The sequence below is a fragment of the Homo sapiens genome, chromosome 1 (assembly GCF_000001405.40).
Source record: "Homo sapiens chromosome 1, GRCh38.p14 Primary Assembly".
In the NCBI taxonomy this organism is placed as follows: domain Eukaryota; kingdom Metazoa; phylum Chordata; class Mammalia; order Primates; family Hominidae; genus Homo; species Homo sapiens.
Genome location: NC_000001.11, coordinates 12,583,753 through 12,597,909, shown reverse-complemented (window position 1 = coordinate 12,597,909; position 14,157 = coordinate 12,583,753). Strand labels below are relative to the sequence as shown.

The 14,157-nt window shown below is 54.6% G+C and overlaps 1 protein-coding gene across 6 annotated transcripts in view, besides 1 other annotated feature; it reads left to right on the top strand.

Annotated features, from left to right (window-relative positions):
- DHRS3 (dehydrogenase/reductase 3) overlaps positions 1 to 14,157 on the top strand; it is a 50,301-nt gene that overhangs the window by 20,301 nt on the left and 15,843 nt on the right. Inside the window, exon 1 of one of the 6 annotated variants that reach the window (NM_001324370.2) lies at positions 1,297 to 1,701. The exons of 4 other annotated variants lie outside the window; for them this stretch is intronic. The gene's annotated coding sequence lies outside the window, so the exon portion shown is untranslated. One more of the 6 variants, XM_017002809.2, reaches the window with a different exon arrangement.
- Positions 4,629 to 5,128: an enhancer, noted in NCBI's record as "H3K4me1 hESC enhancer chr1:12652795-12653294 (GRCh37/hg19 assembly coordinates)". NCBI's record gives its function as "activates a minimal SCP1, AML or CMV promoter by ChIP-STARR-seq in primed H9 embryonic stem cells {active_cell/tissue: H9 hESC(primed)}" and the evidence as "EXISTENCE:reporter gene assay evidence [ECO:0000049][PMID:30033119]".

Here is a 14,157-nt window from a genome sequence, read left to right as displayed (position 1 = left end):
TGACCCAGGGATTCTCACTGGCCCTGCTCTCAGAAGCGCCCTACACTTGGTTTGAGGCTCGGCTGTCACCATCTTGCAATTCTTTACAATTTTTGAACCAGGGACCCTGCGAATGATGTGGCTGGTCCTAACGACAGCCATAGCACACAGGTTGTCAACTTCATTCCTCCCAAGTTCCCCTCAAAGGGAAGTTACTAATGTTTCACAGAAGAGGCAAAACTATTTCATTCATTCATTCACACAGTCACTGGGCACCCAATTACCAAGCCAGGCCTGGAAATTCCTTGGACAGCCTACATTCTAGAGAGTGTGTGTGTTTGAGAATGGGAGAAATAGACAAAAACCAAGCAAACAAATAACCACCATCACTTCAGATAGTGACCAAGTGCTGCAAAGACAAGAAAGCAGAGGGATGTGAGGCAGAAGGATGTTAAAGATTAAATTCAGTGAAGGAGAAGCTGGAATCAGGGCTGGAGTTCAGCTGTGCCTTGTTGCACTCCATGAGTACTCGCTAAAGATCTGGGGTCATTTCAGGCCGGGCGCCATGGCTCACGCCTGTAATCCCAACACTTTGGAAGGCTGAGGTGGGTGGACCAGTTGAGGTCAGGAGTTCGAGACCAGCCTGGCCAAGATGGTGAAACCCTGTCTCTACTAAAAATACAAAAATTAGCCAGGTGCGGTGGTGGGCGCCTGTAATCCCAGGCACTCGAGAGGCTGAGGCAGGAGAATCGCTTGAACCCGGGAGGCGGAGGTTGCAGTGAGCCGAGATCGCGCCACTGCACTCCAGCCTGGGTGACAGAGTGAGACTCCGTCTAGGGCGGGGGGAGATCTGGGGTCATTTCTAGGTTCCCCACCCCCCACAAGGCAGGGTGATCATTAGTTAATGAGGTCCAAGTAGGGGAGTCAATGGGGGTCTCCTTGAGCCAGGGGGGACTATTCATCCCCAAAGACCTCGTCACCCCGGCTTCTCACAATAAACCCAGAGGCTCAGTTTGGGGGGGCAGTGGGTGAGGAGAAGGGCAGCCTTGGTTTCTCTGAGGGTCTCCAAGTTCTCCCCGTGCCAGGCCCCCTGCACCTGAGGCTTCTGACCGGCCCTGCGGTTTGGTGAGCATTTTCTTGCACTTTTGACCTTCCCCACACCAGCACAGGGAGGCCAGTTTCAGTTTTCCCCACTTCCCCAGATGGAGATGGTGAAGCTCAGAGATGCCAAGTGACTCATCCAAAAGTCACACAGCAAATCAACTCCAGAGCAGATTCCTTGAGGCCCCAACCAGGCTGCTTTTCATTCCAAAGGGCAGTGCAGGCTCTCAGCTCTGAGCGCTGGCTGCCAAGTTAGTGCGGTCCAGGGCTGCTCTGGGAGCTCCGCGGGATAAACAGGCCCCCTGCTTCGGAAGGGAGGGGCGGTGCGCGGCCAACGGGACACTTTTATACCTCTTTATACCTGGAAGCCATCCCTGCAACCCCCCAACCAGGCTTTGCAAGGGAGAAGTAATGAGCTTCCCAGAAAGCCCAGAGCAAAGGCAGGCACCTCCCCAATCTCTTCCCACGAAAACCCGAAGCTGACCCCGGAGGCCCAGCCCTCGGGTTTAGAGGCTTCTCGGGGAAGCGGAGACAGAGACCCTAGAGGAGAGGCTGCCCCCGGAGGGGTGGGAGCTGCCAGCCCCCAGGGGTGCTCGAGGGGAGCGAGGCCGCTCCAGGGAGGTGGGTGCCCGCCAGAGGGGCGGCGAGGGCTGCCGGGACGGTTCACGCAGCGGCCAGCAGACTGGCTGCGTGTTGCAATGTCTGGTGGCGTTTGCAGCATCCTGTCCGTGTGTGCAGCTGGGGTAACCTCGGGCCGGCGGAGGAGCGCGTGTGGCTCGTAGGCCCTGCGGCCGGAGGCTGCTGGCACCTTGCATCTCATTTACAGCTCCGGGTTCAGCCACAGGTCAGCGGCGCCCGTGACATCACGGCGTCTGTTTACCGACGGGTCTGGGCAAGAGCGGACGGTCCCGGGGCGGGAGGGGGACCCCAGCAGCGCCCCGGCCCCCAGCCCGGCTCCCCTCCTCACCCCCTCCGCCCAGCCCCTCCTCGTCTGCACCTGAGACCTCAACCCAGCCCCCTTCTGCAGCCACCTACCCTGTCCCCTCCCCAGCTGCACCCGGGATCCCAACCCAGCTCCTCTCCACAGCCCCCAGCCTGTCCCATCGCCCCCCATCTGCACCCTGACCGCACCTCGGCCTTCCTTCGCCGCCCGGCCCAGGACCCCAACCTGTTTCCCCGCTTTCCCCGCAAAGCCCTCCCTATCTGCTCCCGGGACACCACCTGGCCCCCTCCTCACCCGCTCCACCCAGTCGCCCTCCAGTCTGCACCCAGGACCCCAGCCTCGCCCCGCCCCCTCCCCATCTATCTCCCGCCCCTTCCCATCCCCTTTCCACCCCTTTCCCATCCGCCGCTTGGGATCCCAGCCCGATCCCCACCCGGCACTGCAGCCCCGCCCAGCCCCTCCCGGGACCCCCGCGGCCCCGCCCCGCGCCCGCCCCTGGGCCCACTTTCAGAAAGACTTCCTGGAGCCTCCTGCCCGACCCGCTGAGGCTTGGCGGCTCCTCCTGCCACCCCCTCACGCCATCATGTGAGCCAGGCTGGCCTCCCGGCCGCGCACCGAGCCGGCTGCAGCTCGTTAGCTGTCAGGGCCAGGGTTGGGACGGCCCGGGCACTTTGTTATTGGAAACTGGGCTCACCCCCGCTGCGCTAGGTGGGTCCCAGGCGCTGGGGCAGCCTCTTCCCCCGGAGCTGCCTTTGCCACCTGGAACTGCTTTCTCGCTCACCGCCTCCCCTCCCCTCCCTCTGCGTAAACCAATTGTTCTGGAAGCTGAAGGGACCTGGGATTCTCTTCCTGCACACCTGGGGCTTGCCAGAGCCAACCCTCCTGGAGAGGGAGGCGCTGGGGCTCAGGGAACGGCAACCTCATTCTTCCATTTTCTCAGGCCAAACGCTCTGGTGTCCTCTGGGAAGCTCACTTTCTCCAGCACCCAGCTCTGCAACCGTCCAGAATCCCTCTTCTCCCATCACCTAAGCATCCCAGCCCAGCCCCTTCCAGCTTCATGTCAGAGGCTGTCTTTTTTCTCCTTACAACCTCCCAATCTACCCCATCTCAGAAAAGAATTCAAAGTCCTGCTGTGGCTGGTGTCTCCCGCTTGCTCTTCCACACTGGTCTCCGTGCTGGGGAAGCTCATTCCCACCCCAGGGCCTTTGCACCAACTGTTCCCTCCACCAGGGATGCTCTTCCTCCACGCGTCTGTATCGCTCCCTCCTTCACTTCCCTCAGGTCTCTTCCAAAATGTTACTTTAACCAAGAGGACTTCCCTGCACCTTTCCCCCACCATCTGAATACCACTCCCACCCCATAATCACTCCCTCCAACCCCCTACAAAGCTATGTGTTCCTCCCATGCACATCTAGCACTTTCTAGTGGCTAGAAAACTACTTACTATACAGTCATTCGTTCACGTGAACAAGTGTTCATGCTCATTGTCCCCGGACTTACACACAAGCAAACTCCGCAAGTGAGATAAATGTATTCCCCGCTGGATCCCAGGGCCTCCAAAGTGCCTGGTGCACACAATTCCACAAATAGTCCTTGAATGAATGAATGAGGCAGGACAGGGTTGTTAAAAGAGCTTCCCTTTGGAGTCCGAGCCTTGCTTTGAAACTTCTAGTAGTGCAGCCTGCATGAGTTACTTAGACTGTCCAAATTTGAATCCCACCCCGGTGGACAGTAATCTGGAGATGTGTGCTGTGAGGGAAGGGTGGTCTGTAGATGCTGGCTCCTCCCTCCTCTCCTTGGCACCCCCACCCCAAGGTCACCCAGCACTTTCCAGCAAGAGGTCCAGTGGGGGAAAAGGGCAAAGGTTGTGAGGTGTCAGCCATGAACTCTAGCCTGAGTTTCTCTGCCTCCGTGTTTTGCCAAGTGCGGCCCTGGGCAGTCAGATGGAGGTGGAGCCCCTGGCCAGTCTTGTAGGCTGGGGATGTTTGTGAAAAGAAACATCAGCCCGTGGGTTTCTGGCTGGGAGTGAGCAGTGTTCTGCCTGCCCAGAGTCAGCTTTTGTGATCGTTTCCCTGGAGAGTTTTCTGAGTGGTCCCAGAACCAAAAAGTTTCGCAAGAATCACACCCAGGGATGAGGTGGAGACTGCCCAGTTGTCACGTACTGGCTCTTGGCAGGGCGTGGTTTTAGCATTTGAAGGAGTGTCCTCAGGAACACTAGGTGCTCATCACAGGGGGAGACATGCCTGTCTCAGCAACTGGGAAGGAGGAAATCAAAGAAGGGTAGATTTGTAAATCAAATCAGAGCTGGTGTTTGTGGGGTTGGGGCATTTTACATGAAGACCTCTTGGGTAAAGAGACACTTGAGCAGAACCTGTGAGAAGGTGGCCAGGTGTGGTACCTCACTCCTGTAATCCCAGCACTTTGGGAGACTGAGGCAGGAGGATCACTTGAAGCCAGGAGTTCAAGACCAGCCTGGGCAACAATGTGATACCCCCGTCTCTACAAATAATAATAATCATAATAATTTTTTAAAAAGAAAAGAGGGTGCCCTACAAGGAGAGGGATACTTGGGAAAAGAGAACAGAGAGCAGCCAGTACAAAGGCCCTAAGGTAGAGGGGGCCAGTGCTTCTGCAGGGCCGAGACCTAGGAGGGAGTAGCTGAGACGAGGGATGGGGCAGACCAGGAAGGGCCTGCGATCCCAGTAAACACTAGATTCCAGTCTGTGAGATGGGCAGCCATCAGTAGTCATAAGCAGGGTGATGTGGTCTGACACATTCTAGAAGGATCTCTGGCTGTTGTGTTGAGAACAGACTGAGGCAGGGGCCCTGGGGCAAAGGTAGCAGCCAAGTGACCTTTTGGGACCAGGTGAGGGGTCCACTTGTGCTCCAGGTGAAGGGCGCTGAGGCAGGGCCCCAAGGCGCCGTGGAGGTGGCGAGAAGTGGTGAGAAGCCTCTGGATTTCAGAGGTCAGGCTGACAGGGTGCGTGGTGGAGTGGGCATACAGTGAGAGAAAACACTTAATGTGGGACAGTGAAGAGCCTTCGGAGGTTAAAAAGAGCTTGGCATCTGAAAACAGGGAGTGGTGTGGAGGGGAAGCAGCCTCCGTCACTTCCCAGCCTCGGGAGCCTGGGGCTGGGCCTCGCTTGGCCTCCTCTATTGAATGAGGATAATGGAGCCCATTTGTGTTAGTTTCCTGTCAATGGCACAACAAATGACCACCAGCTGTGTGGCCCAAAACACCAAAGCTGCTCTCACATTTCTGGGTACCAGAAGTCCAAACTCCAGGTGTCAGCAGGGCCCCACTCCCTCCCGGGCTCTAGGGAAGGATCCTTCCTTGTCTCTTTCAGCTCCTGGTGGCTCTTGGCAGCTCCTGGCATCGCGTGGCTTGTGGCCGCCTCACTGCCGTCTCTGCTTCCATCTTCACGCGGCCTTCCTCTCCTCTGTGTATGTCTTTCTTCTGTCTCTCATGAGGACACTAGTCCTTAGACTCAGAGCCCACCCTAACCCAGGGTGATCTCACTTTGAGATCCCCAACTCAATTACAGCTACTCAATTCCAAAGACCCTCTTTCAGCATAAGGTCACATTCACAGGTACCAAGGGTTAGGACTTGGACTCAGCTTCTCAGGGGACACTAATCAGCCGACTGTACCACATCCGGGCAGCCGAGAGGATTCAGTCTAAGAGCCCAGAGCAGGATCCAGCCTGCAGTAAAGGTCCACAGATTGTTCACTGTGGTGGCGGTGAGTGCTTGTCACAGTCCCACCCCGCCCACTTGGAGAGCAAGGGTGCTCCAGGCAAACCCCATACCCCCTCACAGCAAACACCAGCCCTGGGCACTGTGCTGACCCATGCTCAGAACAGCTTCTGTCCTCACCTGTCCTCCCACCTGAGCCCCATCAGAGCCCCAGTGTCCTCGCAGAGGGGCAAGGAACATCTCTGCCATGCCTTTCATAACCACTTGGTCATCAAGACCGAATGATGACCGCACCTTTCCCTCATTCCCTGGGAGGTGGACACCTTTCTGTCCAGTCCTTGGACATGGCATCAGCTCACTGTACCTGTGCACTGAATGAATATGTTGTTTCGTGGGGTCATTTTGCTCCCGCAGGTAAAGTCAGTGGCCAAGGGCACAGATTGCATAAGTTGAGGTCCCAGCTCTACCGCTTACCGCTTGGAATTACATAGCCCCTTCGTGTATCAGTTTTCTCGGGTATGAGCCCTTCTGAGCTGACAGAGGACTAGACGCCCCACGGCACCCATGCTGAGGCAGTGTGGCCAGCTAGTGAGCCCCACGTGCATGTCAGAGCTACTGTCATTCCTGTGCCTCCCAAGCGGGCCAGTTCCAGGCTGGACGTCCGCCTGGAGGAAGTCTCTGCCCTGCTCCAGGTTGCGGTCAGGGACTTGTGGGAGGGCGACACCACTGGCTGATCTAATTTGAGGAGCTTCATCACAATCCTCCCCAACAGCTGAGCCAGCGGTAGCCAAAACATTCTCGGCAGGCCAAAACAGGGGCCTGGAGCCAGGGAAAGCCTGTTTTGCAGGGCTACGTGGGAGAGACCTGCCTAGGCTTCAGCAGCCCAGCAGTGCAGGAACAGGAAGGACACATAAGGACCTAGCCGAAGTCCCTGACAGGCCCAGTGGCTTCTGTCACCTCTGACCTCCTGGGGTCAGCCGTGGGGCACCTGTAACGACCTAGGGCTACACCAATAAATGCTAGCTGTTACTATTTTTATTAGTACAGCAACAGATATAGATCCCCCTTGCTGATGGAAGATCCAGAACCCTGCTGGGGTAATGGTTGCCTGGAAAACCCGAAGCTCTATGTCTGTCTCCTCCCCTAGAAACAGCCTTGAGTGGGACAAAACCACAGAATCGCACGATCTCTCTGTCCCCATCCTTTTACCTGACAGCATGCAGACTGGATTGTGTAGAGTCTGGAAAACAGGCCTCCCAGAAAAAAAGGTGGAAGGGATTAGAAAGTCTGGGAAGGAGATGCTGGAAGTCGGTACCTGATCATTGTGGATCAGTTTTGATCAGTGTGATCAGTGTGGATCTGCACTGGAAGCAGAAGGGCTGGTAGGCTTGTTGGGTGTGCCCGAGTGACAGGCCAGCACTCTCAATGGGTGACAGCTAGAGGGATCCCACTGGAGTCCATTCGGAGAAAGCAGGCTTCCTTCCAGGGCTGTGCTGGGGAGGAAGAGGCTGCGGATTCAGAGTCACATTCCAACTATTTTTTTTTTTTAGCGACAGAGTCTTTGTAGAAATGACTATTCTAGGTCGGGCACGGTGGCTCACGCCTGTAATCCCAGCACTTTGGGAGGCCGAGGCAGGTGGATCACCTGAGGTCAGGAGTTCGAGACCAGCTTGGCCAACATGGAGAAACCCCGTCTCTACTAAAATTACAAAATTAGCCGGGCGTGGTGGCGCATGCCTGTAATCCCAGCTACTCGGGAGGCTGAGGCAGGAGAATTGCTGGAACCCAGGAGGTGAAGGTTTCAGTGAGCCAAGATCACGCCACTGCACTCCAGTCTGGGCAACAAGAGTGAAACATCATCTCAAAGCAAAAGAAATGACTATTCTAGAAACCTAAAGTGTCACCACTCTGGGTGACTGGGGCAGGAGTGAGGAGAAGCCTGGAATGATATCTGCTTGCTCCCCACCCCACCCTCAGCACCTCCAGAGGCTCCTCACCAGAACCCCCAGAGTTCCTTGGGGCTCTGCTTGAAAACCTCTCCTCCCTAAGAAATCCCCCCGCAGCTTGCTCTGCAGGTGGACAGTTTTGACAGCTGGTCTCTACCTTCTCAGGCTTGGGGACGTAGAAAAAGGAGAGCCTTCTAAGTAAGGTGGAAGGATGGAATCAAGAAATAGCAAGATTCTGTGGTTTTGCCCCAGTCAAGGCTGTGCCTAGGGTAGTCAGATGGAGGTGGAGACCAGATGGGGTCTTCCGGGCAACTGTTTCCCCAACAGGGTATGTGGATCTTCTACTGCAAAGGGGGATCTATTTCTGTTGCTGTGCTAATAATAATAATAATAATAATAATAATGACAGCTAGCTTTTTACAAAACAGAGACAGAGTCTTGCTATGTTGCCCAGGCTGATCTTGAACTCCTGGCCTCAAGTAATTCCCCCACCTCGGCCTCCCAAAGTGCTGGGAATATAGGCGTGAGCCAACATATCCAGCCCACAGCTGGCATTTATTGTGCCCTTTCTTAATCCTCCCAACTACTCTTCAAAGTGGGTGTTTTAGGCTGGGCACGGTGGCTCACACCTGTAATTCACCATATTGGTGAATTATGGTGAAACCCCATCTCAACTAAAAATACAAAAATTAGCTGGGTGTGGTGGTGCACACCTGTGATCCCAGCTACTTGGGAGGCTGAGGCAGGAGAATCGCTCAAACCCAGGAAGCAGAGGAGGCAGTGAGCCGAGATCGCGCCACTGCACTCCAGCCTAGCCCACAGAGCAAGCCTCCATCTCAAAAAAAAAAAAAAAGAAAAAGAAAAGAAAAGAAAAAGAGTGGATGTTTTAAACCTTAATTCATAGAGGTTAAGATCATGTTAATTCATAACTGTTAAAGAATTGAACCCAGGCAGTCTGGCTCCAGAGCCCATGTTCTAAGCTGCTCTACTCGAGAAAGGGTCTCTCCTTTTGGAAATAGACAGGGTTGTGAAAGGGGGAAATTCTAGTAGTAACCTATGCCACGCTCACACTCACCCTCTGCTATCTAGCACCCCATTCTAACCTTAATGTCTTAAAAGCTAGATGTTGCTTGCCTGCTCATTCTCATCTGACCACAGGGATGGATTTTTATTAACAGCCTCCTACTGGAGGGGCCAGGAGCAGAGAGCTGTGCACCCTCCACGCTGTGACCTTCCCACCCCACCGCCCAGCCTGCTGTGGTTTGGGGTCTCTGGCGGGTATTTTCTTTCCCTCTGAGAAGCCAAGTCAGCACCGATCCAGCTCCAAAACATGGGGCCCATGGGACATGAGCTGGCCTGCCAAAGACCTGCCCAGGGTCTCAGATCTTTCAGGGGCTGCCAATTATAAACAGATGCTCCTCCTGGGACGCACCCAGAGACCACCCAGCTCATGTCGCCGGTGGGAGGGTGCGCTGCAGCTGAACTCCAGGAATGAAAGCCAAGTCCAGCATTAGTGCAAGCCCCTCTGGGCTAGGAAGGCAAGGCTGGGTAGAGAAGGGGCACTCGGTATCCTCCTGGGGCTGGTGTCTTGTGATGATGTTAGCTGAGCTTTTACTCTTGTGCCTGGCCCATGCTGGATGCTGGGGTTACGAGATGAATAAGATTCCCTGGAGGACCTTGCACGCTCATGGGAGAGGCAGGGGTGTTCACCAGTCAGCATGCTCACATCTGTGCACTAGTGGAGGTTGAAAAAAGACTAGTGTTAGCAGTGAGGAATGGGTATCCTGAGTCAGGCAGATCTGCTCTTATGAGCTGCATGACCTTGGGTGAGTCACTGTCTGTCTGCGGCTTACCTATTAAATGCAGAAGGTAAACATACCCACCTCGAGGGGTTGTGAGGATTAAAGAAGAAAACATATCCATGTACTCAGCACAGTGTCTGGCCCATGGCAACTGCTCAACAGATTTAGCCATTATATAGTGGTGGTGCTGTTGTTGTTGTGGGGAGGCTGGAAGGAGCAGCCAGGGAGGCTTCAGAACTGAGGGAGCATTCAAGTAGGGTTTTGCAGGTTGAATAGGAGTCCATAAGTAGCCCTGGCATTTGAAACAGAGAAAAACAGCCCGGGCCGGGCACCAGGTAGGGACACAGGAGAAACCTGAATTTGAGAGATTTAGTCCCTGTCCTCTAAGAGACAGGATATAGACCCCAAATGGCCGTGACAGCACATGCAGGGCCAAGAGCACTGTGTAATGAGTGAGTGGAAACTGGGAGCTGTGGATCCCCGGCAGGCTCCCTCCCTCACTCACTCAACAACAGGAAGAGAGATGTGAATAGACAGTCACTTGCCAATGGATGAGGGCCCCCGAAGAGCACCACTCGGGGGCTGGGGGACAAGGGGTTGGACCCAAAGGGCTGAGTGACATTACCTGTGTGTAAAGAATCTATTTGGAGAGTGATCCATGGGGAAGCTTTTACTCTACCTTCTGTTGTTTTTTGTTTTGTTTTGTTTTGTTTTGTTTTTTGGTTTTTGTTTTTTTGAGACCGGCTCTCTCTCTGTCATCCAGGCTGGAGTGCAGTGGTGAGATCTTGGCTCACTGCAGCCTCTGTCCCCTGGGCTCAAGCAATCCTCCCACCTCAGCCTCCTAAGCCACCACACCCAGCCCCACCTTCTATTTTTAAGATCATAAATAACAATACTTGTTCTTTAGAGATATTTTTTGCTTATACAAATATAAAGAAGCAAACGACAGTCAGCTGTGATCCTGCCTGAGACACCCATCTCTGTGTAGCCTGTTGACTTCCAGTGACCTGGTGGCTTATGCCTGTAATCCCAGCACTTTGGGAGGCTGAGGTGGGAGAATCACTTGAGCCCCAGGAGCTTGAGACCAGCCTGGGAAACATGGCAAAACCCCATCTCTACAAAAAATATAAAAATTAGCCAGGAGTAGTGGCTTGCACCTCTGGTCCCAGCTACTTGGGAGGCTGAGGTGGGAGGATCACCTGAGCCCAGGAAATGGAGGCTGCAGTGAGTCATGATTGCGCCACTGCACTCCGGCCTGGGCAACAGAGTGAGACTCTGTCTCAAAAAAAAAAAAAAAAAAAGTTTAGAGTTGAGATTATCTTATTCAAATAGTGCTGCACCCCTTTTGTCTGAACATTAGACTCCTGAGCATTTTTCCATGTCGTGTCACTTATCATTTTAAAGCCTGCAGAAGAGGGTGTATCAGAGGCAGTGAAGAGGGTGTATCAGAGGCAGTGAAGAGGGTGTATCAGAGGCAGTGCTATGATTTTCTCAGCTTTTCCTCCCCACGGGAAATACCAACAGGGAGTGGGTACTGAGCAGTTAGTTAGTGGGTGCCAGCTTCTGCCAGCTTAATCCCCACAGGACCCCTTGAAGAGAGGAGATGTGCTTTCTCTTACAGGACAGTGAGTGGTGGTGCAATCCCCACAGCCTGTGGAGCTGGACATGACCTTGGTTCAAATCCCAGCTCCATTATTCAGTTGCTGTGTGACCTCAGACGAGTTGCTTAGCCTCTCTGAACTGCAGTTTCCTTATCTTTAAAATTATGATATGGCTACCTTGTCAATTCCCCGATGCAAATGAGGTTTTCTTGTTTATTCTTTATCCCACTTACTGTCATTTGTGACTGACTGTTTTCTGGTTCCTTCTCTGTCTTCCCCCACTGGAATGTGGGTTCCTTGAAGTAGGATTACATCTGCTTCATTCTCTGTTGGATCACCACCCCAGCCCATAGCCGGCTGTCCGTGTGGTGCTGGATGGACGGGGCTGTTGTGGACATTGGAGGAGACGAAGCAGGAGAAGGCTGGCTGGGTGGGGATGAACGCGGGGCGTGGGGTTGCATGTGAGGAGAGTGGAACCCTCAAAGCTCAGACGACCCCACCGTGCCTGGGGGCTTAGGGGTGCCTCTGCAAAGGGCCAAGGCTCTGGGTTCAAATCCTGTTTCACAGTGGGTGGCGTGGGGTGAGTTACTTAACTCCTTTGAGCTACGGTTTTCTCCACTGTGACCACGGATAATGACAGCCTTCAGCGCAGAGGGCTGCTGAGGAATCTGTCTGGCTATAGCCGCCTTGAGAGCAGCTCTGGGCAAGGGCAGGACAGCCCGGGGCCCCGGAGACCAGAGGTCTTTCTCCCCTTCCTGCCTCCCCCTACCAGTCACTGGGAGAGAGAAGGGGACAGAAGCTCACCATTTGCCCCAGATGGGAGGGAAGAGGAGGAGAGGCCTTGGAGGTGTTGAGCCACCCCAGCCCTTATTCTATAAACCCTGCTTAAGAGTAAATTCCAGGCCTCTGGCCTTCCCAGCTGCTGCCTGTCCCGAGTTCACTAAGAGGCAGCCGCACTGGTTCCAAGGGCTCAGAAATCAGTCCCCTCTGCAGGCCCCCAACCCACATACCCTCAGACGCCCGCCTCCGCCCGCCCAGTCCTCATGCTCATGATGGCCTTGGGTGGGACCCTTGTCCTGTCAGCTGTGCAGGTCACCTCCAGGGAATTCTGGCAGGAGCCACCTGGGCGGGCCTGCAGAGCGGTATCTGCCAGTTACCTGGTCAGTGACGCAGATTCCCCAGAAGGGTCAGGGTAGGAGGCTGGAGGGGGAAGAGGAGCCAGGAAGGGACAGTGGCTGGGGCAGCTCCACAGGGCAGCACCTACCAGGGAAAGGGACCCATTCCCTCCACTCAGCTCACTCAGGCGCCAGCCCAGCACTTCAGAGACGCTACCGGTTCCTAAGATGGAAGGTGCCCAGCCGCGCTTCCCTGCGACTCCCAGCATCCACCAAGGACCTGAGGAAACACAACAGCACACATGGCTACACACTCACTCACACACACACAGTCACACACAGACACACACTCACACAGAGACACAGACACACACTCACACAGAGACACAGACACACAGAGACACATAGAGACACACAGACACATACACTCACATAGAGAGACACACACAGACACAGAGAGACACACACTCAGAGACACAGAGACACACACTCACATAGACACACACACACAGAGATACACAGACACACACACACACAGAAACATACACTCAGACACCCACAGACACACAGAGACACACTGAGACACACACACACTCTCTCTCACACAGAGACACCCAGACACATACATTCACACAGAGAGACACCCACAGACACACACACACATACTCACAGAGACACACACTCAGACACACAGAGACACACACACACACAGAGATGCACACAGACACACACCCACAGACACATACACTCATACAGAGAGACACCCACAGACACACGGAGAGACAGACACACTGACACACTCACAGATACACTCATAGAGACCCACACAGACACACACACACACACACTTACAGAGACATACTACAGAAACCCAGTTACAAAAACACACAGAGCCTGGCACAGGGATGCTCAGCAGGGCATGCGCACAGCAGCCAGAGCCTCACCTCCGTCTGAGACCGAAGCCTTGCCCTGTGAAAGCTGCTCCTCACCCAAGGCCCGGCCAGGAAGGTGCTGATGCTCTGGGGCGCCCAGGTAGACTTGAGTGGAAGGTTCTGGGGCCCTAAATGGCTTAGCCAAGGGGATGGGTGGTCTCTCCTCTTACAGAAGTTAAAACACCTCCCTTCCCCGTCCACCTGTGTACCTGAACTGTCATTCATTCATTCATTCATTCAACAAACAGAATGTGCTATGCTGGGCACTGGGATGTGAACGGGATAGAATTGGGGCCTGGGGGGTGGGGGGGTGAGGAGGCAGAAAGGCAAACCTATCATGGTGCCAGGGAGAGGTGAGGCCGGTTCCCCAGCCCGCCTGGGGCACCCTCAACAGACCCTTGAAAGGAAACAGCCAAGTGTTAGGGCCCTGCCTGGGGGGCTTCCTGGCCCACGGAAGACAGTGGGAGACAGCCTTCATTCCTTCTCCCTCAGCCCTGCTCCACTTCCTCTCCAGGGTGGTCTTCCAGCTAGGTCAACAGTGCTGGGGTGACCACTTGTCTCCACGGACATCTGAACCCTATACCTTCCTGCAAGCCCCCAGCTTTAAGCTTTCCTCTCTGTCAATTTGCCCAGCAATTCTTAGGGCCCCCAGAGGCACCTCTCCCTACCTCAGCCAGACCCCAGGGGACTGTGCAAGCCCCATGGTCCTGTTACACATAGGAGCCAGAGGTAGGATGGGGTTAGGCAGGGACCAGAACAGAAGAATGGAAACCAATGATTACCTACCCCTTGGGCTGACATACTCAGAAACCAGATGGATGGATGGGTGCAGTGGGGCTGATGGGTGGGTGGGTGGGTGGGTGGATGAATGGATAGATGAATGGAATTGGGCAGGTGAGTAAATGGATGGATGGATGCATGAATGCATGGATGGATGAAGTGGAGTAGGTGAGTGGATGGTTGGATAGATGGAGTAGGGTAGATGAGGGATGGGTGGGGGGATGGATGGATGCATGGATGGATGGACAGATGGAGTGGAGTG